The 23,368-nt window shown below is 48.1% G+C and overlaps 1 protein-coding gene across 1 annotated transcript in view, besides 13 other annotated features; it reads right to left on the bottom strand.

Moving 5' to 3' along the window:
- The window catches only part of NBDY (negative regulator of P-body association), an 89,937-nt gene that overhangs the window by 45,725 nt on the left and 20,844 nt on the right, over positions 1 to 23,368 (bottom strand). The gene's annotated exons all lie outside the window — the stretch shown is intronic.
- Positions 36 to 627: an enhancer, noted in NCBI's record as "OCT4-NANOG-H3K27ac-H3K4me1 hESC enhancer chrX:56799261-56799852 (GRCh37/hg19 assembly coordinates)". NCBI's record gives its function as "activates a minimal SCP1, AML or CMV promoter by ChIP-STARR-seq in naive and primed H9 embryonic stem cells {active_cell/tissue: H9 hESC(naive and primed)}" and the evidence as "EXISTENCE:reporter gene assay evidence [ECO:0000049][PMID:30033119]".
- Positions 628 to 1,218: an enhancer, noted in NCBI's record as "OCT4-NANOG-H3K27ac-H3K4me1 hESC enhancer chrX:56798670-56799260 (GRCh37/hg19 assembly coordinates)". NCBI's record gives its function as "activates a minimal SCP1, AML or CMV promoter by ChIP-STARR-seq in naive and primed H9 embryonic stem cells {active_cell/tissue: H9 hESC(naive and primed)}" and the evidence as "EXISTENCE:reporter gene assay evidence [ECO:0000049][PMID:30033119]".
- Positions 1,219 to 1,810: an enhancer, noted in NCBI's record as "H3K27ac-H3K4me1 hESC enhancer chrX:56798078-56798669 (GRCh37/hg19 assembly coordinates)". NCBI's record gives its function as "activates a minimal SCP1, AML or CMV promoter by ChIP-STARR-seq in naive H9 embryonic stem cells {active_cell/tissue: H9 hESC(naive)}" and the evidence as "EXISTENCE:reporter gene assay evidence [ECO:0000049][PMID:30033119]".
- Positions 2,497 to 3,013: an enhancer, noted in NCBI's record as "H3K27ac-H3K4me1 hESC enhancer chrX:56796875-56797391 (GRCh37/hg19 assembly coordinates)". NCBI's record gives its function as "activates a minimal SCP1, AML or CMV promoter by ChIP-STARR-seq in naive H9 embryonic stem cells {active_cell/tissue: H9 hESC(naive)}" and the evidence as "EXISTENCE:reporter gene assay evidence [ECO:0000049][PMID:30033119]".
- Positions 3,014 to 3,530: an enhancer, noted in NCBI's record as "H3K27ac-H3K4me1 hESC enhancer chrX:56796358-56796874 (GRCh37/hg19 assembly coordinates)". NCBI's record gives its function as "activates a minimal SCP1, AML or CMV promoter by ChIP-STARR-seq in primed H9 embryonic stem cells {active_cell/tissue: H9 hESC(primed)}" and the evidence as "EXISTENCE:reporter gene assay evidence [ECO:0000049][PMID:30033119]".
- Positions 5,566 to 5,865: an enhancer, noted in NCBI's record as "active region_29695". NCBI's record gives its function as "activates an Ori minimal core promoter by ATAC-STARR-seq in GM12878 lymphoblastoid cells {active_cell/tissue: GM12878}" and the evidence as "EXISTENCE:reporter gene assay evidence [ECO:0000049][PMID:35858748]".
- Positions 6,126 to 6,355: an enhancer, noted in NCBI's record as "active region_29694". NCBI's record gives its function as "activates an Ori minimal core promoter by ATAC-STARR-seq in GM12878 lymphoblastoid cells {active_cell/tissue: GM12878}" and the evidence as "EXISTENCE:reporter gene assay evidence [ECO:0000049][PMID:35858748]".
- Positions 8,839 to 9,198: an enhancer, noted in NCBI's record as "active region_29693". NCBI's record gives its function as "activates an Ori minimal core promoter by ATAC-STARR-seq in GM12878 lymphoblastoid cells {active_cell/tissue: GM12878}" and the evidence as "EXISTENCE:reporter gene assay evidence [ECO:0000049][PMID:35858748]".
- Positions 9,194 to 9,695: an enhancer, noted in NCBI's record as "H3K4me1 hESC enhancer chrX:56790193-56790694 (GRCh37/hg19 assembly coordinates)". NCBI's record gives its function as "activates a minimal SCP1, AML or CMV promoter by ChIP-STARR-seq in primed H9 embryonic stem cells {active_cell/tissue: H9 hESC(primed)}" and the evidence as "EXISTENCE:reporter gene assay evidence [ECO:0000049][PMID:30033119]".
- Positions 9,194 to 9,778: a biological region, named in NCBI's record as "H3K4me1 hESC enhancer GRCh37_chrX:56790193-56790694".
- Positions 9,659 to 9,778: an enhancer, noted in NCBI's record as "active region_29692". NCBI's record gives its function as "activates an Ori minimal core promoter by ATAC-STARR-seq in GM12878 lymphoblastoid cells {active_cell/tissue: GM12878}" and the evidence as "EXISTENCE:reporter gene assay evidence [ECO:0000049][PMID:35858748]".
- Positions 9,799 to 9,848: an enhancer, noted in NCBI's record as "active region_29691". NCBI's record gives its function as "activates an Ori minimal core promoter by ATAC-STARR-seq in GM12878 lymphoblastoid cells {active_cell/tissue: GM12878}" and the evidence as "EXISTENCE:reporter gene assay evidence [ECO:0000049][PMID:35858748]".
- Positions 13,144 to 13,243: an enhancer, noted in NCBI's record as "active region_29690". NCBI's record gives its function as "activates an Ori minimal core promoter by ATAC-STARR-seq in GM12878 lymphoblastoid cells {active_cell/tissue: GM12878}" and the evidence as "EXISTENCE:reporter gene assay evidence [ECO:0000049][PMID:35858748]".

Raw genomic sequence — 23,368 nt, 5'->3', positions numbered from 1 at the left:
CATGCCTGGCAGTTCCTGGAGACTGCCAGGGGAAGCCATGGCGGGCCGCCCCGCCTGCCCGTTCTTACATACAGCTGCGGAGCCAGGGCGCCATCCTGGGAATGAGCCCAGGCCAAGGGCCAGCGAGGAGTTCCTCTCTCGTCTCGCTTCAGTCTGGGGTCCCACACCACCCTCCCTTTTGGGCTCCTGGCCTTTCCCCAGTACTTGTGCCCTACAGCCTCCGGTTTCCAGAAACGGTTTCCGCTTGATGGCAGTATGGCACCACAAATGCCAAGTACAACCACAACCCTGCCCCTCCAATCCGAGGGCCTCCGCCCTTTCTCGTGTGAAAAAAGCAAAGAGGAAGGAGAAAACATAATAATAAAAGAAAGACACGGAGAAGGGAAAGGAACCAGCCACCTGGTCCCAGGTTGACCGCCAAACTCAGGGGACCCTAGGACCAACGACCAGCCGGCTGGAGAACCTGCGGGAATGCGGTGGAGGCAGCCAACCTCTGCCTTTCCTTTGGCCCTCTTCAGGGATTTTGGCTCCCGCTGGTGCAGGAAGTAAAAGACAAAGGACACATAATCACCGCCTCTGGGAAACCACAGGAGGACTGGGATCATAGGGCTGCCGCCCCAGGACAAGGCGCTGGCCACCCAGCTGGCTTACACAAGGATTTGCCCCAGGACCGGGGGTCCTCCCAAGGCCTGGAGCTGCAGGTAGTGTTTACCACCTTGGCATGGCACACGGAGGTCACCAGAACGGGGCCGAAGGCTCAACAGGCAGCCACAGGGCTGAGGCAGGAGTCTCCCTCACAGGAGACACTCAGCAACACACTCAAGTCTGACTCTGCTCAGGCTGTCTCGGCTTTCACACAGGAGAGGGTGGGAGGGGGGCGGCTCAGGGAGGCCTGGGAAGGCCACCCCGCGCCACAGATACTCATAGCATCACACAGAGCCAAGACTCCAGGGGGACTGTCTCTGCCCCTCCTCCAAAGTGGGGTCCCTTTTTAAGCAGCATAACCCAGGATGATCCAGTTTCATACCTGCTGCTTGGGCCTATCTGATGACACACATCCCGCATTCATTCTCAGGAGAAGACCCTAGTTGCCCAATAAATGGCATGATGACCCAGGACTGGAGCCAGGAATGCTCGCCTGTCTCCCGTTCTGCTTTGCACATTTAGAGCCAGCGTGGAAGAGGTTGTGGGCGCTTTCGAGCCAGTGGCGGTGTGTAGGAGTCTGTGTCCGATAATGCTTGAGCTCACACCCCTTTGCTAGTGTGAGCTGACGTGTGTGCGCACGTGCGTGTGTTTGTGTATGTATGCGTGTGTCTACTTGGGCGTGTTTAACGTGTGCGTTTGTGTCTGCGTGTGCATGTGTCTGTGTGTGCGCGTGTATTTCAGTTTGGGTTGCCGGATCCCATATGATTGCGTGCCTGTGTACCTGAGTCTGCGGTCTGTGGGTGCCTGCCTGTGTGAGTGACAGTGGGCAAATGAACACGTGGCAGAGACACCCTGCCTGCACACATCTGGATCGATGTGTTCACATGGCTTGACTGGAGAAAAAGGAGACAGGGGACAACTTGCCAAAGCTCCTAATGGCTCAGAAAGGCACACTTAGAGCATCCACAAGGACAATGGGGAATAACGGTGAGACATGAGGTACTGGGTAAACGGTGGGTTCACCACGACATTTCACTTAAAAGTAACACGTGGGCAGCTTTTTGGTGGACCAGAGGGAATAAACTGGTGACCTTCATCAGTGCTCCTTTGAGAACAAAAGTGACGCTTCCTCCAGGCCTAGTGCTGCAGAGGGACATGTCGAATCACCAAAAAGCAAAAGCAGCAGCAGTCTCCTAGAACACTTGCCCGAACAGATCTGAGTGTGAAGGGAAAAAGGGAAGAAAAAGCAGAAGCAAAAGCAGAAAAAGAAGAAGAGGAAAAGGAGGAGGAGGAGGAGGAGGAGGAGGAGGAGGAGGCGGAGGAGGAGGAGGAGGAGGAGGAGGAGGAGGAGGCAGAAAAAGATTAAGAAGAAGAAGAAAAATGAGAAGAAAAAGAAGAAGGAAAAGGAGAACGAGAACGAGAAGAAGGAGGAGGAGGAGGAGGACAAAAAGGAGGAGCATGAGGAGGAGGAGAGGAAGTTGGAGGAGGAGGAGCAAGAGGTAAAATAGAGGAGAAAGGGAAGAATAAAAGTAGAGAAGAAGAAGAAGAAGGAGGAAGAGGAAGAAGAATCAGAAGAACAAGAAAGAGGGAGGTCCATGCCACTGTAGCTGTCCTGGAGGATCTAGTTCAGGAAGACCTCAATGCATGGTGACATGCACAACGAGGGACAAGGAGCCACCAGTCACGTCCCGCTTAAAGGACGAACAACCAGGAAGCTTCTTGTCGATGGGATCTTTCCTGAGTGGGACCGAAACTTTGATCCACAAATCGGCCTACAGAAGCTACAGAGGACACAGGTGCAGGCTGAACCTTGCCCTGAGGATGCCATCAGCCGACTGCAAGGGTCACCGAACCCCAAGTCTACAAGGCCAAGGCAGGGAAGAGCCCCCCCCCCAAAAAGAGGAAGGTAATAAACGGGGAGGAATCAGACACCAGGGAAAAGAGGTAATCGGCCACCCACGGCAATATGGAGACAGGGCAGAAAGGGGAGGGAAATGCCAATTTCTCCTCACAGGGGTCAGCTAGAGTCCTCCTAATTTCCTTAGGAAAAGTAAGCCTGTTTTCCCTAACGGTATCCCCGCGCCCAGTCGACCCTGCCTTCCAGGCTGCTTCTCACCTCCCCAAACAGAAGTGGACGAAAAGTAAAGAAAGTGAAGAAGAAAAAAGTGAGGGGAGGAAAACTCCGAAAGTACACAAAGAATCAGAGTGAGCAATGAGGTTGAGAGCGAAGTGGAATGCAGAGTGCCCCAGCTGGACAGCTGGCAGCCCTGTGAGTGGCCTGACAGAAAAAGAGCCACCAGCTAGGAGAAAGCATCAGCCCCTTAGGCCCGGGTCTGCACCGCGTCCGCCCAGAGGCCTGTTGGGCCAGTAGGCGGCTCTGCACCCTGCTGCCCACACCTCAACCCCATCCCGCACACTCCGTCAGCACATATTGGGAAGCCAGGCAGAAAGCGACAAGGAAGGTGAAGTGAACAAGAGGGAACCCGAAAGCTGAAAACCTGCCCCCCTGAGAGTTGCCTAGATGACCGGCCCCGGCTGTGAATGAAGGTGTCTGGGCAGACGCTTGTGAGTATGGGTGGGGATACGTGTACGGGCCTGCCTCAGGACCTGTGGAAGCACAGATGAAGACAGGAAACAGTTGAGATGTGATGGGAGTTAAAAGTTAAAACCGAGGACCTCTGACACTCACAGTCCCAGTGCCAACCCTAAAGACGCAGTCCAGATCTTCCTGCATTCTTTTCTTCTCGCGTTCTCCCTAGGCACCGCCAGAGGCGCACCCTGGTGCATGCTACCTACATATGAGGAAAAAAAAAAAAAAAAAAAAAAAAAAATCCGCATTTGTTGACAAGTGACAGAAAGGGGGTGACTCCTGTTCCATGGTCATGTGGTTCTTCTGCCCGGAATGCCGTGAGAGTGCAGGCCCGCTCACGAGATTGACATTCCTCCTTGTGAGAGTGGTTCACACACCCCCAGCGTGGGAATCATCACCCGTGGGGTGAATTTTCTGCCCTAAGAAGGGCTGCTCGTCCCCAGGGTGGCCTACACATCCAGGAAGATTTGTAACAAGCCAAGACAGAAAACATTTGCAATATTCGGGGAGCGTTGTGTTCCATGCTGCTGTCCAGGCACCCAGCGGCATGAGTAGCCTATGCAACCTTTAGAGCAAGGCGGTCGCGGCTTCGCATCCCAACATGGGCACTGTATGATGTCCCGCATCAGGCTTTCTTATGTCTGCCTGGAGACCCTAATTATGGGCGGCATAATTTGTCCTTGACGGTCTCATGCATTTTCTGGGCTGAATATCCGGCAAGCACCAGGGTTTAGCTCGAGAGCCCAGTGAGCCCTCTACCAAACCAAAACACAGCCCCCCGCCCGAGCCCCTTCTCCCCCAAAATACTCAAGGCTCAACCTCCACCTCCACACGCAGCACAGGAAATCAGACGGGGTCCAGGCGAAGTGGGGCAGGCTGGGCCCTGGCTACCCATGCACTTGGGTACAAGGACCAAGATGCCTGGCAACTAAGTGGTGAACCACCACGTTCCACTGAGCACGCGTGCTCCGTCAGACATGCCAAGAGGCTCTCTCTCCAGGAGAGCCACCTGTGAAACCCACCCGGCATGCTCCTCCCACCACTGTGCACAGACGAGTGCCTGGGCTCCAGAGAGGGAGGGAGCTGAAGGCCTCAGACAGGAGTCCGTCCCGTCCAGTCCCATCATCCCAAGAAACATCCGGCCCGACTCCCTGCAGCTCCATGGCTCAACAAGGTGCGGATGCCTGCTGGACCTGGCTGCTTTCCATCCAACTTTGATCCCTTCCCCAAGAGGAAGAGTGCTACCTAGGGACAAGTGTGGTGCGCACAGGCATGCAGCCTGGTCTCTTGCTCAGGCGGCCTGCGCAGATTCCTAGAGGAATCTGCAGCGGCCCGCATGCAGACCCACACACCCACATATCCCTCCCCCTGTACCCCCTCACACTGCCCCCAGTGCGACCTACCCCCACCGAGCCACAGCCCTAAGGGTGGAATTTCTTGACGTTCTCTGGTTCACTGGGAACCCTGCCCGGAGAAGAATCCAGAGGGAAGGAGGGAGGCAGAGAACCCTCCTACCGTTGCAGGCTTCCCCAAAGTGACCACCTAGGTGGAGAGCCCTGCTGTAGGTGAGGTGGGTGCTCCTTGGCCGGTATCTTTCGTTGTTTCTTGGCTTTTTTTGTTTTTGGCGTTTGTTTTATTCTGTCGGCAGCAGATGGAGAAAGATAAAGGCAAGGTGGGGGAAGGAAAAGACGTGACCGCCATTGGCGGAGCCACAGTGCCATCCAGCGGAAGGTGATTCTGGACATGACAACAGGCTGCAGGGACAGGGACACTTGCCTTCTGCCAGGCACCGAGAAGAGTGAGGATGGGCGGGGCGGGGTGGACTCTGCCTAAGCCAGGGTTTCCCCGACCCGGGCGTAGAGCCCTAGAACAAAGCGGACCTGCCATTGGGACCCCTTGGAGAAGCAGCTACTCTAGAGGCCCCGAGACAGATCAGCCAGGCATCCCGAAGACCAGTCAGCCCACAGGGTGCAGCTGCCCCGGCAGCCATTTTGAGATACGCATAAGGGAAGCCACTGGCCACTGACAGCCAGAGAACGGGGCCGTTTACTCTGGTCGCTTTTGTGGGCAGCTCCGCGATGCCCTTGGCTGGGGCCACAGTGGGGCCAGAAAGCCTCTATCTTGCCGGGAAATAAAAAAGTTTCGGAGTGCTGAGTGTGGGGCGACCCATGCCTGGCAGTTCCTGGAGACTGCCAGGGGAAGCCATGGCGGGCCGCCCCGCCTGCCCGTTCTTACATACAGCTGCGGAGCCAGGGCGCCATCCTGGGAATGAGCCCAGGCCAAGGGCCAGCGAGGAGTTCCTCTCTCGTCTCGCTTCAGTCTGGGGTCCCACACCACCCTCCCTTTTGGGCTCCTGGCCTTTCCCCAGTACTTGTGCCCTACAGCCTCCGGTTTCCAGAAACGGTTTCCGCTTGATGGCAGTATGGCACCACAAATGCCAAGTACAACCACAACCCTGCCCCTCCAATCCGAGGGCCTCCGCCCTTTCTCGTGTGAAAAAAGCAAAGAGGAAGGAGAAAACATAATTATAAAAGAAAGTTAAGGAGAAGAGATAGGCGAGAAGTGGAGCACAGTAGCTGCTGGCCCAGTTGCTAAGCCCCTCACTGCCCTGGGCAGGCAGGTCCAACTGGCTGCTCGGAGTGCGGGGCCCGCCGAGCTCATGCCGACCGGCAACTCCCGGTGGCCCGCAAGCGCGGCGAGTAGCTCGTGTTACCGCCCGCGGCTCTCCCTCCACACCTCCCCGCAAGCTGAGGGAGCCGGCTCCGACCTTGGCCAGTGGAGACAGGGGCTCCCACAGTGTAGCGGCGGGCTGAGGGGCTCCTCAAGGGCGGCCAGAGTGGACGCCAATGCCGAGGGGGCGCCGAGAGCGAGCGAGGGCTGCCAGGGCTGCCATCAGACTTTCACCTCTTAAGGGGACCCTAGGATCAAGGATCAGTAGGCTGGAGACCTTGTCGGAACGCTGTGGAGGCAGCAAGCCTTTGACTTTCCTTTGGACCTCTCCAGGTTTCATCGCTTTCGCTGGTGTAGAAAGTAAAAGAGAAAGGACGTATAATCATGGCTACTGGAAAACGGCAGAAGGACTGGGATCACAGGGCTGCCGCCCAAGTACAAGGCAGTGGCCACCCAGCTGGCTTACACAAGGTTTTGCTGGAGAATTGGGGGTCCTCCCAAAGCCTGGAGTTGCAGTTAGAGTTTACCACCTTGGGATGGCACATGGAGGTCCGAAGAACGGATAGACAGCTCAACAGGCAGCCACAGGGCCTGAGGCAGGAGTCTCCCTCAGCGGGGACATTCAGCAACTCACTCAAGACTGACTCTGCTCAGGCTGTCTCGGCTTTCACAGAGGTAGGGTTGGGAGGAGGGTGGCTCAGAGAGGCTGGGGAAGGCCACCAAGTACCACAGCTTCTCATGGCATCACACAGGGACAAGGCTTGGGGGCCCTTTTTAAGCAGCTTGACCCAGGATGCTCCAGTTTCATGCCTGCTGCTTGAGCCTATCTGATAACAGACTTCCCGAATTCATTCTCAGGAGAAGGCCCTAGTTGCCCAATAAATGGCATAATGACTCAGGCCTGGAGGCAGGAATGCTCCTCTGTCTCCCTTTCCCCTTTGCATATTTCGAACCCCTGTCGAAGAGAATGTGGGCAGTCGCATGCCTGTGGCGATGTGTGTTTGTGTCCCATAATGCTTGGGCCCCTACCCCTTTGATTTTGTGAGCTTACTTTATGTGTGTGTATGTGTGTGTTTGTGTGGGTATGTGTAAGCGTGTTTTTGTCTGGGTGTGCATGTATCTCTGTGTGTGTGTTTGTGATTTTATTTCTTCTTCTGGGGGTCTCTTGTAAGTGCCTGCATGTGTGTCTGTGTGTGCCTCCCTGTGTGAGTGAGAGTGGGCAAATGAACACGTGGCAGAGACACCCTGCCTGCACACACTGAAATGTGAGCAAATGAACACGTGGCAGAGACACCCTGCCTGCACACACTGAAATTCAGATTGATGTGTTCACATGGCTTGACTGGAAAAAAAGGAGTTAGGAAACAACTTGCCAAGGCTCCTACTGGCTCAGGATTACACTTACAGCATCCAGAAGGAGAATGGGAAATAACAATGAGCCATGAGGTATTGGGTAAAGGGTGCGTTCACCATGACATTTCACTTAAAAGTAACACGTGGGTAGCCTTTTGGTGGACCAGAGGGACTAAACTCATGACCTTCATCTGTGCTCCTTAAAGAACGAATGTGAAGCTTTCTCCAGGCCTAATTCTGCAGAGGGACATCCCACATCACCAAGGAGCAAAAGAAGAAGCAGTCTGCTAGAACACGTGCCCACCCAGATCCGCAAGTGAAAGGAAAAACAGAAGCAGAATCAGAAGCAGAAGCAAAAGCAAAAAAAGAAAAAGAGGCAAAGGAGAAGGAAGTGCAGGGGGAGGGGGAGGAGGAGTAGAAGGAGGAAAAAGAAGAAAAAGAAAAAGGAGGAGTAGGAAGATAAGAAGGAGTTGGAGGAGGAGGAGCAAGAGGAGAAGGAGGAGAAGGAGAAGAATTAAAGAAGAGGGGTAGGAGGAGGAAGAGGAAGAAGAATCAGAAGGAGAACAGGAAGTGAGAGGTCCATGCCACTGTAGCTGTCCCGAAGGATCTAGTTTAGGAGGGCCTCAACGCGTGGTGACATACAACGAGGGGCACGGAGCCACTTCTGACATCCGGCTTAAAGGACACACAACCAGGAAGCGTCTTGTTGATGGGGTATTTCCTGAGTAAGATCAAAAGCTTTGATCCACAAGTAGGCCTGCAGAAGCTACAGAGAACACAGGTGCTGGCTGAACCTTGCCCTGAAGATGTCATCAGCTGACTGCAAGGGGCTACCAAGCCCCAAGGCTACAAGGCCAAGGCAGGGAAGGACCGCCCAAAAAAGAATAAGATGAAAAACGGGGAGGAATTGGACACCAGGGAAAAGAGATAATCAGCCACCCACTGCAATATGGAGACAGGGCAGAAAGGAGAGGGAAACGCCAATTTCTCCTCGCAGGGGTCAGCTAGAGTCCTACTAATTTCCTTAGGAAAAGTAAGCCTGTTTTCCCTAACGGTGTCCCCGCGCCCAGCTGACCCTGCCTTCCAGTCTGCTCCTGGAGCAGAAGTGGAGAAAAAGTAAAGAGAATGAAGAAGAAAAAAGTGAAGGGAGAAAAACTCCAAAAGTACACAAAGAATCAGTGAGCAATGAGATTGACAGCGAACTGCAATGCAAAGTGCCTCAGATGGACAGCTGGCAGCACTATGAGTGGCCTCTTGTGGCCTCACAGAGGAAGAGCCACCAGCCAGGAGAAAGCATCAGCCCCTCAAGCCCGGGTCTGCACCGCGTGGGCACAGAGGCCTGTTGGGCCAGGAAGCTGCCCTGCTCCCTGTGGCCCCCACCCCTACCCCATCCTACTGTTGCCGGTTCCCCCAAAGTGACCACATAGATGGGAAGCCCTGCTGTAGGTGAGATGGGTGCTCCTAGGCCAGTTTCTTTTTTTTTTTTTTTTTTTTGGTGTTTGTTTTGGTTTTTGGCACCAAAAACAGAAAGAGGGAAAGAAAATGGGGGAAGGGAAAGACAAGACTGCTGTTTGTGGAGCCACATTGCCATCTAGTGGAAGTTGTTTCTGAACACAACAGGATGCACGGACACCTGCCTTCTGCCAGGAACAGAGATCAGCGAGGATGTGCTTAGACTATGTCTAAGCCTGGGTTTCCCCCACCGGGGTTCTGAGCCCTTGAAGGAAGTGTACCTGGCATTGGGACGCTTTGGAGAAGCAACTACTCTAGAGGCCCCAGGACAGAACAGCCAGGCAGCCCCAAGACCAGTCAGCCCAGAGGGCGGAGCTGGCCCGGCAGCCATGTTGAGATGGACATAAACGAAGCCACTGGCCGAGACGGGGGCCGTTTACTCTGGTGTCTTTTGTGGGGAGTTCCGGGGTTCCCTTGGCTGGAGCCACGTGTTGGCAAGGGGGCCCCGATCCTCCCGGGGAACAAAGGAGCTTCGGGATACTGGAGACGTGGCAACCCAGGACCAGCAGTACCTGGAGATGACCAGGGGAACCCATGGTGGGTCGCCCCTACCTGCCCTTTTTTTCGGAGAGAGCTGTGGAACCAGGGAGGCATCCTGGGAATGAGCACAGGCCAAGGGCCAGCTTGGAGTTCCTCTCTTGTCCTGCTTCAGCCTGGGGGCTCCATGCCGCCATCTCTTTTGCGCTCGTGGGGTTTCCCCAGCACTTGTGCCCAGCTGCCTCCGGTTTCTAGATACAGTTTCCGCTTGATGGCAGTATGGCTCCACAAACGCCAACTACAACTGTAACCCTGCCACTTCAACTCCAGGGCCTCCGCCTTTTCCCATGTGAAAAAAGGTAAAGAGGAAAGAGAAACAAAAAAAAAGACAGAGGAGTGAAAGGAATCAGTCACCTGGTCCCAGATTGATCACCAAACTCATGGGACCGTGTGACCAAGGACCAGGACCAGTAGGCTGGAGATCCTGTGGGAATCCTGTTTAGGGAGCCAGCCTTTGCCCTTCCTTTGGCTCTCTGCAGGTTTCATGGCTCTTGCCCGTGCAGAAAGTAAACAACAAAAAACATGATCATTACTGGGACACCACAGGAGGACTAGGATCATAGGGCTACTGCCCCAGGACAAGGTGCTGGTCACCCAGCTGGCTTACACAAGGTTCTGCTGCAGGACTGGGGGTCCTACGAAAGCCTGGAGCTCCAGGTAGAGTTTACCGCCTTGGGCTGACACATGGAGGTCATCAAAATAGGTGGACTGCTCAACTGGAAACCACAGGGCCTGAAGCAGGAGTATCTCTCAGAGAGGACACTCAGCAACTTGCTCAAGTCTGACTCTGCTCAGGCTGTCCTGGGTTTCACACAGATGGGGGTGGGAGGAGGGTGGCTCAGGGGTGCTGGGGAATGCCACCACACACCACAGATTCTTATGGCATCACACAGGGCCAAGGCTCCCAAGGGAACTCTCTCTGTCTCTAACACAAAGTGAGGTTCCTTTTTAAGCAGCTTGACCCAGGATGCTCCAGTTTTACACCAGCTGCTGGATCCTATCTGTTAACAGACTTCCCACATTGATTCTCAGGAGAAGGCGAGAGTTGCCCATCAATCAATGGCATGATGGCCCAGGCCTGGAGTCAGGAATTCTCCCCTGTCTCCTGTTCCCTTTGCACATTTAGAACCTGTGTGGGAGAAATTGTAGGCAGTCTCGTGCCTGTGGTGGTGTGTATGTGTCTGTGTGGGAGAATGCTTGGGCCTGCACCCCTGTGCCCCTGTGAGGTTTCTTGTTTGTGTGTCTATGTGTGTGTTTGTGTGTGTCTGCATGTGTCTCTGTGTGCGGGTGTGTTTGTGATTTCATTTCTGAGGTCCCTAGTGAGTGTGTGTATGTGTATCTGTGTCTATGGTTTGTGGGTGCCTTCCTGTGTGAGAGTGGGTAAACTGGCACATGGCAGAGACAGCCTGCCTGTATACACTGAAATCCGGATAGTTGTGTTCACATGGCTTGACTGGAAGGAGAGGAAATGGGGGAAAACTTGCTGAGGCTCCTACTGGCCAAGATTACATTATTAGATCGTCTTCAAGGAGAACAAGGTAGAAGGATGAATCGTGAGGTACTGGTAGGAAGTGCATTCAGAATGACATTTCACTTAAAAGTAACACATGGGTGGTTTTTTAGAGGACCAGAGGAACTGAACATGTGACCTTCATCTCTGCTCCTTTCAGAACAAAAGTGAAGCTTTCTCCTTGCCTAGCACGCAGAGGGACATCCCCCATTACCAAGGAGCAGAAGAAGCAGTCTCCATAGAACATTTGTCTCGCCAAGATCTGAAAGTGAAAGGAAAAGAGAGAGGAGGAGGAGGAGGAGGGAAGAAAAGAAGAAGAAAAAGGAGGAGGAGGTGGAAAGAAAGAAAGAAAAGAAAAGAAAAGAGAAAGAAAGAGGAAGAGGAGGAAGAGGAAGAAGAACCAGATGGAGAAAAAGAACAAGAAATGGCAGCTTCATGCCACCTCAGCTGTCCTGAAGGATAGAGTTCATGGGTGCCTCAATGCGTGGTGACATACATAACGAGTGACAAAGAGACAACAGTGACATCCCAGTGAAAGGACACACCACCAAGAAGCTTCTTGTTGATGGGATCCCTTGTGAGTCGGATCAAAAGCTTTGATCCACAAATAGGTCTGCAGGGGCTACAGAGGACAAAGATGCAGGCTAAACCATACCCTCTGGATGTCATCTGCAAACCGCAAGGGGCCACGAGCCCCTAGTCTACAAGGCCAATGAAGGGTAGGACCCCAGAAATGGGAGGAGAGAGGAAAAACGGAGAGGAAAAGGACACCAGGGAAAGGAGGTAATCAGCCACCTATGGCACTAGGGAGAGAGGGCAGAAAGGAGAGGGGCACCCCGATTACATCTGGCAGGAGTCAACTGAGGTCTTTCTAATTTCCTGAGGAAAAGAAGGCGTGTTCTCCCTAAATATGTTCGCTTGCCAACCGGACCCTGCCTTCCAGGCGAATCCTGACCTCCCCAAACCAGAAGTGGACGAGAAGTAAAGACAGTGAAGAAGAAAAAAGTGAAGGAAGAAAAACTCCAAAAGTATACTAAGAATCAACGTGAGCAATGAGGATGACAGCGAACAAGAATGCAGAATGTCCCAGATGGACAGGTGGCAACCCGAGTGACCTTCTGTGGCTTCACAGAGGAAGAGCCACCAACCAGCCAGGAGAAAGTGTCAGCCCCTTATGCCCAGGTCTGCACTGCATGTGCACAGAGGCCTGTTGGGCCAGGAGGCTGCCCTGCTCCCTGCTGTCTCCACCCCCAACACATCCCGCACCCTCCGCCAGCAAATATTGGGCAGCCAGACAACAAGGGATGAGGAAGATGAACAAGATGGAACCGGGAAGCTGAAGAACCCTGCCCTCTGAGAGTTGCCTGCACAACAGGACCCAGGTATGAGTGGAGGTGCCTGGGCAGACGCTTGTGAGTGAGTATGAGTAGGGACACATATATGTGCCTGAGGACATTTGGAAGCACAGGTGAAGACAGGAAAAAGTTGAGATGTGATGGGAGTTAAACGTTAAAAACGGAGACCTCTGACAATCAGAGTCACAATGCCACCCCTAAGGATGCAGTCCAGATCTTCCTGCATTCTTATCTTCCTGCTTTTTCTCTAGGCACGCGCCAGTCTCCTTCTTAGGAGGCCTATGCAGATTCATAGAGAAATCTGCAGTGGCTGGAATGCAGACCTACACACCCACACACCCGCCACCCTGTAGCCCCTCACACCTTCCCCAGTGCAACCTCCCCACATCATGCCACAGCCCCAAGGGTGGGATTTCTTGAGGATAGGCTGGTTCATTGGGACCCCCTGCACAAAGAAGAATCCAGAGGGAAGGAGGAAGGCAAGTTTCCCCAAAGTGACCATGTAGGTGAGGAGCAATGCTGAAGATGAGGTGGGTGCTCTTTGGCCGGTTTGTTTCTTTGTTTTTTTTATTTTGTTTTGTTTGTTTGTTTGTTTTTTGAGACAGAGTTTCACTCTTATTGCCCAGGCTGGAGTGCAATGGTGCAATCTCGGCTCACCACAACCTCCGTCTCCCGGGTTCAAGCGATTCTCCTGCCTCAGCCTCCCCGTAGTTGGGATTACAAGCATGTGCCACCACGCCCAGCTAATTTTCTATTTTTAATAGAGACAGGGTTTCTCCATGTTGGTCAAGCTGGTCTCGAGCTCCTGACCTCAAGTGATCTGCCTGCCTCGGCTTCCCAAAGTGCTGGGATTACAGGCGTCAGCCACCGCACCCAGCCCCAGTTTCTGTTTTCTGGTCTTTGTTTTGTTTGGTTGCCAGCAAAAGGAGGGAGAGGAAGGCAAGGTGGGGGAAAGAAAAGGGGTGACTGCCATTTGTGGAGCCACAGTGACATCCAGTGGAAGGTGTTTCTGAACTACAGGCTGCAAGGAAACTTGCCTTCTTCCAGGCACAGACAACAAACAGTGAGGATGTGCCAGGCTGGGTAGACTCAGCCCAAGGCAGGGTTTCCCCCCACCGGGGTTCAAAGCCCTTGAAGGAAGTGTACCTGCCATTGGGACCTCATGGAGAAGCAGCAACTCTAGAGGCCCTGGGACAGAACAACCCGGCAGCCTCAAGACCAGTCTACCCAGTGGGCAGAGACACCCTGTCTTGTGATGGGCATAAGGGAAGCCACTGGGCACTGATGGTCGAGACTGGGGCTGTTTACTCTGGTCTCCTTTGTGGGGAGTTCCAAGGTGCCATTGGCTGGGTCCAAGCTGGGGCCAAGGGGTTCTTATTCTCCCTGGGAACAAAGGAACTTCGGGGTGCTGGGGGCGGGGCGATTCATGCTTGGAAGTCCCTGGAGACTGCCAGGGGAGCCCATGGTGGGGTGCCCCTGCCTGCCCTTTCTTTCAGAGAGAGCTGTGGAGCCAAGGCGCCATCCTGGGAATAAGCACAGGCCAAGGGCCAGTCAGGAGTTCCTCTCTCCTCCTGCTTCAGCCTGTGGACGGCTTGTCGCCATCTGTTTAGCACTCCTGGGCTTTCCCCAGCACTGGTGCTCAGCTGTATCCCAGTGCCAGAAACTGTTTCTGCTTGATGGCAGTAGGGCTCCACAAACACTAACTATAACTGTAACCCTGCTCCTCCACCCCGAGGTCCTCCGCCTTTTCCCATGTGAAAAAAAAAAATAGGAAGGAGAAAGAGAAAAAGTGGGGAGAAAAAGAAAACAGCCACTAGGTCCCAGGTTGACCACCAAACTCAGGGGTCCCAATGACCAAGGCCTGGTAGGCTGGAGACCCTGTGGGAATCCTGTTTCGGCATCCAGCCTTTGCCCTTCCTTTGGCCCTCTCCAGGTTTTGTGGCTGCTTCTAGTGCAGAAAGTAATGACAAAGGACACATAATCATGGCCACTGGGACACCACAGGTGGACTGGGATCATAGGGCTGCCATTCCAGGAGAAAGTGGGAGCCACCCAGCTGGCTTACACAAGGATTTACCCAAGGACTGGGGGCCTATGTAAACCTGGAGCTCCTGGTTGAGATTACCACATTGTCCTGGCACATGCAGGTCACCAGAATGGGCTGATGGCTCAATAGGCAGCCACAGGGCCTGAGGCAGGAGTATCCCTCAGTGGAGACACAGAAAACCTTTTCAATATTCTGAGAGCATTGTGTTCCATGCTGCTCTCCAGGTACCAAGCGGTATGGGTAGGACATGCAACCTTTAGAGCAACGGGGTCATGGCTTTGCACCCAACATGGGCTCTGTATGAAGGCCCTGCACCAGGCTTTTGCATGTCTGCCTGGAGACCCTAAAGGGGCAAAATAATTTGTCCTCCACCGTCTCATTCATTATCTGAGCTGAGTATCTGGCAAGCACCAGAGTTTAGCTTGAGGAGCCCAGAGAGCTCTGTATCAAATCAAGGCACAGCTGCCCCACCACCCTCAAAGACACTCTAGCCTCAACCTCCACTTCCACACCCACCACAGGAACACAGAGGGGCCCAGGAGAAACTGAGCACTGCCGGGGGCCTGGCTACCCATGCACTTCAGCAGAATGACCAAGATGCCGGGGGTACTAACTAGTGAGCCATCACGTTCCAGGGAGCCTGCATGCTCCATCATCAAATATGCCAAGTGGGTCTCTCTAGGAGAGCCACCTGTGGAACCCATCCGGAATATCCCACCCATTCCTGGGCACATATGAGTGCCTGGGTTCCAGTCAGAGAGGTAGCCAAATGCCTCAGACAATAGTCTGTCTCGTCCTGTCCTGCCCCATCCCGACAGATGCCTTTCTCGACCCTGTTCTGCTGGATGGGTCAACAATGTGCAGATGCCTGTTGGACCTGGCTGCCTTTCTTTTTTTCTTTCTTTTTTTTTTTTTTTTTCGAGACAGAGTCTCACTCTGTCACACAGGCTGGAGTGCAGTGGCACAATCTCGGCTCCCTGAAACCTCTGTCTCCTGAGTTCAAGCAATTCTCTTGCCTTAGCCTCCCAAAGTAGCTGAGATTACATGCTAATTTTTGTAATTTTAGTAGAGATAGGGTTTCACCATATTTGCCAGGCTGGTCTCAAATTCCTGGCCTCAAGCAATCTGCCCACCTTGGCCTCCCAAAGTGCTGAGATTACAGGTGTGGGCCACCATGCCTAGCGGACCTGGCTGCTTTTAATCCAAACTTTGATCTCTTTCCCAGGAGGGAGTGTGCTGCCTAGGGACAAGTGTGGTGCACACAAGCAAGTGGCTTGTTTTCCTGTTTATGAGACCTGAGCAGGTTCATAGAGGATTCTGTAGCCACCCTCCTCCAATACCCACACACACCTCCCCTGTTTCCCGGAAATACAAGCTCCCCTCACCATACTACAGCCCCAGTGGTTGTATTTTTTGAAGACAAGCATTCCTTCCTTCCTTCCTACAAGCTCCCCCCACCATGCTACAGCCCCAATGGTTGGATTTTTTGAAGACAAACCTTCCCTTCCCCGCTCCCTTTCTCCTCCCCTCCCCTCCCGTTCCCTTCTCTTTCCCTTCTCTTCTCTTCTTTTTCCCTTTCCGAGAGAATAATCTAGAAGGAATGATGGAAGCAGAGAATCCTCCTACTTTTGCAGGTTTCCCCAATGTGGTCAAGTGGGGGGAGCCCTGCTGAAGTGAGAAGGGTGTACCTTAGTTGGTTCCTCATTTTGTTTTTTAGGTTTTCTTTTGTTTTTCGGATGTCAAGTGCTCACTGCAAAGGGCCACTGAATTGATGGTGCACGAAGCGAAGGAAGGGATGCCCAGAATTAGTGTGTTTAGTGGTTACAATTTTTGTTGTTTATGAAACCACAATGAATAGTTATATATAGTTGCTGTGAAATCAATGCTGCCTTCTTATTTAATCAACGTGCATTTTAAAATTATTCCAATTAACCCTGAGTTCATTTGTCATCCTATTCCTCTGCAGAGTACAAGATGCACTTCTACAAACCTTCAGAAAAATCTAATATAAGGAAATATATTAATGTATTATGAAATAGAACATGTCTCTTGTGGACACTGAATTCTCACAATTAGAATTTTCAATTAACACCTTCCTAAAGTTCTTTAGCAATATATTCTAATTCTGATCATATTTGAGAATTATACTTATCAAAAGCCAGTCAATATTATTTATCGTTGTTATTACAGTTTAATCAGTACTGTTGTGTTAAATAATTTACATTATGTAAATACTAAAATGTGTCTAGGGTCATTTTCTTTTCTTTTCTTTTCTTTTTTTCAGGGAGAGTCTCACTTTGTCACCCATGGTGGAGTGGAGTGGCGCAATCTCGGCTCACTACAACCCCCGCCTCCTGGTTCAAGTGATTCTCATGCCTCAGCCTCCAGATTCACTGGGATTATAGGCATGCACCACCAAGTCCGCTAATTTTTTGTAGAGACAGGGTTTCACCATGTTGGACAGCCTAGTCTCAAACTCCTGACCTCAAGTGATCCGCCCAGCTTGCCCTCCCAAAACATTGAGATTACAGGAGTGAGCAACTGTGCCTGGCCATTTTAGTTTTCCTATATTTATTTACTAAATCTTGCACATTATTTTTCCTATTCGTCTGTTGCCTTCCTTAATGCACTTCGCTAATATGTTATTCTTTTTATTCATTGACAGAGGCAATGTTTTTAAGTACATTATACACTAACTCTTTTTTTATAACCTGATCTTGGTCTTGTTTATGTTTTCTTTCAGTGTAAGTATTTTCTTTATTTAGGTTGTCAATTGTGTTACTTTTTTTTTTTCTTTTTTAGCTGTTGTTTCATGTATCAGGCTTACTTTAATAGGGTGTATCCTTTTCCAAATGGATCTTTTAATTGTTTTTTATTTAGCTGTGGATAAATTAATATATTATAAATTTAACCATTTTATTATTTATTTATTTATTTTATTATTATTATACTTCAAGTTTTAGGGTATATGTGCACAATGCGCAGGTTAGTTACATATGTATACATGTGCCATGCTGGTGTGCTGCACCCATTAACTCGTCATTTAGCATTAGGTATATTTCGTAATGCTATCCCTCCCCCCTCCCCCCACCTCACAACAGTCCCCAGAGTGTGATGTTCCCCTTCCTGTGTCCATGTGTTCTCATTGTTCAATTCCCACCTATGAGTGAGAACATGCAGTGTTTGGTTTTTTGTCCTTATGATAGTTTACTGAGAATGATGATTTCCAATTTCATCCATGTCCCTACAAAGGACATGAACTCATCATTTTTTATGGCTGCATAGTATTCCATGGTGTATATGTGCCACATTTTCTTAATCCAGTCTATCATTGTTGGACATTTGGGTTGGTTCCAAGTCTTTGCTATTGTGAATAGTGCCGCAATAAACATACGTGTGCATGTGTCTTTATAGCGGCATGATTTATAGTCCTTTGGGTATATACCCAGTAATGGGATGGCTGGGTCAAATGGTATTTCTAGTTCTAGATCCCTGAGGAATCACCACACTGACTTCCACAATGGTTCAACTAGTTTACAGTCCCACCAACAGTGTAAAAGTGTTCCTATTTCTCCACATCCTCTCCAGCACCTGTTGTTTCCTGACTTTTTAATGATTTCCATTCTAACTGGTGTGAGACGGTATCTCATTGTGGTTTTGATTTGCATTTCTCTGATGGCCAGTGATGATGAGCATTTTTTCATGTGTCTTTTGGCTGCATAAATGTCTTCTTTTGAGAAGTGTCTGTTCATATCCTTTGCCCACTTTTTGATGGGGTTGTTTGTTTTTTCCTTGTAAATTTGTTGGAGTTCATTGTAGATTCTGGATATTAGCCCGTTGTCACATGAGTAGATTGCAAAAATTTTCTCCCATTTTGTAGGTTGCCTGTTCACTCTGATGGTAGTTTCTTTTGCTGTGCAGAAGCTCTTTAGTTTAGTTAGATCCCATTTGTCAATTTTGGCTTTTGTTGCCATTGCTTTTGGTGTTTTAGACATGAAGTCCTTGCCCATGCCTATGTCGTGAATGGTATTGCCTAAGTTTTCTTCTAGGGTTTTTATGGTTTTAGGTCTAACATTTAAGTCTTTAATCCATCTTGAATTAACTTTTGTATAAGGTGTAAGGAAGGGATCCAGTTTCAGTTTTCTACATATGGCTAGCCAGTTTTCCCAGCACCATTTATTAAATAGGGAATTGTTTCCCCATTTCTTGTTTTTGTTAGGTTTGTCAAAGATCAGATGGTTGTAGATATGTGGCTCCATTCTCATTTCTGATTTACTTATTATTTCAGGTATTTGGTAACGTTTTGTCAATTTTGTTGATATTTTCAAAAAAATCAACTTTTGGTTTGTTTTTCCCTTTATTGTTTTTCTATTCTCTGTTTTGTTTATCTCCACTCTAATCTTTATTATTTCCTTCCTTCTTCTAGTTTTGGGTTTGTTTTGCTATTATTTTTCTTGTTCCTCTAGGTGTAGAGTCAGGTTTCAAGATCTTTCTGCTTTTCTAATGTTGACATTTACAGCTACAAATTTCCCTCTGAGCACTGATCTTACTGTGTCCCTTAAGTTCTGGCATGTTTTCATTTTCATTTATTTCACAATTTTGTCTAATTTCCCTTAAGATTTCTTCTTTGAACCATTTATTAAAAATGTTATATGATTTTCCAGTTTTCCTCTGTTATTGATTTTTAGATTCCTTCCATTGTCATTGTAGAAGATATTGTATGACTTTCATCTTTTTAAATTTATTGAAGCTTGTTTTGTGGCCTAATATATGGCCTATCCTGGAGAATGTTCCATGGCACTTGAGAAAAATGTGTATATTCCTGTTGTTAGATGAAGTGTTCTATACATGCCTGTTAGGTCTATGGGACAGTGCTGTTAGGTCTTTACAGTCTGTTAGATCTACTGGTTTACAGTGCTGTTCAAGTTCACTATCGCTTTATTGATCTTCTGTTTACATGTCTTATCCATTATTGAAAGTAAGGTATTTAAGTCTCCAACTATTATTGTGGAACTGTTTATTTCTCCCTTCAATTCTCCTCCTCTCCTAAGGCATACTCTTCCACCTCTGCTCTGGATCCCATATAATCTCACTTCCTTCGAACTATTCATTATACTCACTTTTTCCTCTCTCTTCAGCTATTCCTCTTTATTTGATCTTTCCTACTGACATTTAAACAAGTTTAAGTCTTTTCCATCTTAAAAGATGGTTCCTTTAACCTTGTTCCCCTCCTATTATAACTTTCTTCCCCTTTTGCTACTCATCACAGCTCAAATTCCTGGAAGCAATGTCTTCCCTATCTTCACCCACTTCCTCACACTCCTCCATGCACTCTTCAATCCACTACAATCTTTTTTCTGTCCCTTCTATGCCAATAAATCTTCTCTTACCAAAGTCACTAATACAGGACCTCCTTTGATAGACTCAATGTTTTTTTTTCCTTCCCTTCTGTCCCCATCACCAATGGATGCTTTTAAATCCTTCTCTTATAAAAATATTTGACACTGTTAACCACACCCTCTTTCTTGAGATAGTTTCTTCCCTTAGGTTTCAGGAATCCTCATTTTCTGCTTACCTTTTTTACTTTTTTTTGTCAATTCAGTTTCCTTTCCAGGACCCACTTCCTCTCCCAGTCATTTCAATGTTTGTGTTCTTCAAAATTTTCTTCTTGACCACTTTTTCTTCTCACAATATACACTTTCCCATGGCTTCAACTCTCATCTATATGATGACAACTCTCACCTATATGCTGATTATCATTCAAGTCTGCATTCTTTGCCTATATTTCTGACATTCTAGTGGACATCTTCACTTGAATGTCTCACAGGTACCTCAAATTCACATGACTGAAAACTAAATACCTTGCTAACTTTCTTCACCTGAATGCCTCCTATTTATAATGTAAGTTTAATTCAAGCCCTATATCTTCCAAGAAGCCTTCTGTGTCTGGGATCACTATCTATCCTTTGTGCTTCCTAGCTTTAGCTTCTTCCTTACAGAAAGATCTTGTCTCCAGCATTAGACTGAGTAGTCTTCAAGAACAGGTGCATGGTTTAGTAATCTGGGTGTCCCCTTTGTCTCATATAGTGCCTAACACAGCAAGTGTTCAGTAAGTGTTGACTGAATAGAACTGAGTTAATTTCAAATTAACACCCTTTCTTTCTTGGAAACGTTTAAGATCTCTTCTTCCACAGTCTCTTCAAATTTCTGGATATTTCATTTTGCCTTCAAGTAGATAACACATTAGATAAACATTCTATTTCACTGTGAGGACACCCATCCAAATAATCATAGGCTTTCTGATTTTTATGATTCAATAGTTGCTGGCTGGGTACGGTGGCTCATGCCTGTAATCCTAGCACTTTGGGAGGCCGAGGCAGGTGGATCACTTGAGGTCAGGAGTTCGAAACCAGCTTGGCCATCATGGTGAAACCCCCGTCTCTACTAAAAATACAAGAGATTATCTGGGCATAGTGGTGTGCACCTGTAATCCCAGCTACTCGGAGGCTGAGGCAGGAGAATCACTTGAACCTGGGAGGTGGAGGTTGCAGTGAGCTGAGATCTTGCCACTGCACTCCAGAGTGGGCAACAGAGTGAGACTCCATCTCAAAAAAATAAATAAATAAAATAAAAATAAAAAGAGTTGTTGAAGTCTTGCCTTCCTCTTGGAGCATCCCCTCAAGAGCTGTTTCAATATCTCTTTCCTCACAGATATCATTAGGGTGCAGCAGAGTTCTAAGGTACTGATAAGGCTTCAAATAAAAACCTATCTGACAAAAGAGTACAGTCTTGTGAAGTGCAAATCAAAACCACAATAAAAAAAATCTCACACCAATCAGGATGGCTACTATAAAAAGTCAAAAAACAATAGCTACTGGTGAGGCTGTGGAGCAATGGGAACACGTATACATTGCTGGTGTGAATGTAAATTAGTTCAGCCACTGTGGAAAGCAGTTTAGATTTCTCAAAGAAATTTTTAAAACAGAGCTACCAATTGATCCAGCAATCCCATTACTGTATACATAACTGATAATAAATAGATCATTATACCAAAAAGACACAAGCACTCGTATGTTCACTACTGTACTATTCACAATAGCAAAGACATTAAATCAACCTAGGTGCCCATTAGTGGTAGACTGGATGAAGAAAATGTGTTTCATGTACACCATGGAATACTATGCAGCCACAGAAAACAATGAAATTATGTCCTCTGCAGCAATATGGATGGAGCTGGAGTCCATAATCCTAAATGAATTAATGCAGAAACAGAAAACCTAATACCACATGTTCTCACTTATAAGTGGGATCTAAACATTGAACACATATGGACATAAACTTGGGAGCAATAAACACTGCAGATTACTAGAGGCAGGAGGGAATGGATGTCAGTGCAATACATCCATGTAATAAACCTGCGTATGTAGCCCCTACAAGTAAAATAATAGTTAAAATTTTAAAAAGAGTACATATTCTGTGATTCCACTTAAATAAAGTTCAAGAATATGCGAAACTAATCAATGGTGACAGATGTTAGAATAGTGGTTACTTTTTGTGAATGTTAACTTGAAAAGGACACAAATGTGCTTTCTAGGGTATTGGAAGTGTTTTATATTTTGATCTAGGTGTTGTTTACACTAGTATATAAGTATATGTACAAATTCATTGAGCTATATACTTAAGATTTATGTACTTTACTATGACTTATACCACCATAAAAAGCAAAAACCTAGAAACAAATGAAGTAACTTCTGTTGTGCATTGTAATTCTTTTTAAAATTCCTAATCAACCAGATGGAAAGGTACTACACTGAGAATTCAATGTACATTCACCAAGTTATTGTTTGACATGTGCAATAATAGACAAATACCAGGCACAGAAATAGTAAAGAGGAAGCAATTATTTTTAGAGGCTGAAGACAGAGGATGAGGAAAAAAAATATTGAGGCTATGACAAATGAGCAGGAATTTGAAGAATGAAGTTCACTAGGTAAACAAGGGTGTAAAGATGTTAGAGGGAGTCAAATGTACAAAGAAATCTGCATGAAATAATAGTATGTTCAAGAAAACCCTAGTGGCACATAAAATCCAAAAAAAAAAAAAGTTGTGTGAGTTTGGGATGAGGTGTAGGAATTGGTGGCAACAGATAAGGCTTGATTAAGAGGTATGCCATACAGAATCTTTTAGGTCATGCTAAGACTTTAGACATTATCATAGAAAGCAAGAAATCATTAAAGGATTTTCATAGGAAGCAAAAAATCATTAAAGGATTTTAAGTAGGGGAGCAATGTGATCAGATATTTATTTTAGAGGCTATTCTAAAGGCTGTGCCAAGAGTCAGTACACAGTACTGGAGGCAGGAGATCAGTTAGAAAACTATTATTGTCATTCAGGAGAAAAATGTTGAGGGTCCAAACCGGGGAATGGGACTAGAGTTTTGGAAATGAAAGATAGAAGAAAAAATCATGGAATATTTTGAAGAAATAACCATTATGACTTGGTGACAGATTAAAAAGTGGAGGTAAGAGAGAAGAAACATGACATATACCCTAGTTTTTGCCTTAGAAGTACTAGTACAAACAATAAAGAATAAAGAGGTTTGTGGTGCTGCTGGTGGGGTGATGAAGAGTTCAGTTTTGGTAACATTCAGTCTAAGGTGATAAGGCAATCACACAGAAAGAGCAGGCAGGTGACTATATGAGTTTGAGCCTGGCATAAAGCTTGTGCTAGAAATACAGATTTGGAAGTCGTCTGCATATATTTTTTTTATTTAACCCAGGACAGTGGGTGAGATTGCCAAGAAGAAGTGAGGATTGAAATAGGAAGATTCAGGAACCACTCAATTTAAGGATCTAGGCTGAGGAGGTACTCAGAAAAAAATAGTTAGAAACAATGGCCAGATATGTAAAAGGAGAACTAGAAGAGAAGAATGTTGTAGAATGGAAGAAAGCAGAGAATTTTAAACGTTGCAGAAGGATCAAGATAAAACCCAAAATCCAGTCATTGGATTTGGGAATTAGAACTATGGTAACCTCTTCCACAAAGCATAATGCATTAGCCATTCTCACAAATCTCTTCATTGTTGTTTAAAAATCGGCATTTTCACTCATTCTTATCTTATTTCTCCTGTGCCAATGGTTTCCAATTCT

Source organism: Homo sapiens, chromosome X (assembly GCF_000001405.40).
Source record: "Homo sapiens chromosome X, GRCh38.p14 Primary Assembly".
NCBI lineage: Eukaryota > Metazoa > Chordata > Mammalia > Primates > Hominidae > Homo > Homo sapiens.
Note: the sequence above shows the minus strand (reverse complement) of the source record. Positions and strands in the feature narration are given on the sequence as shown.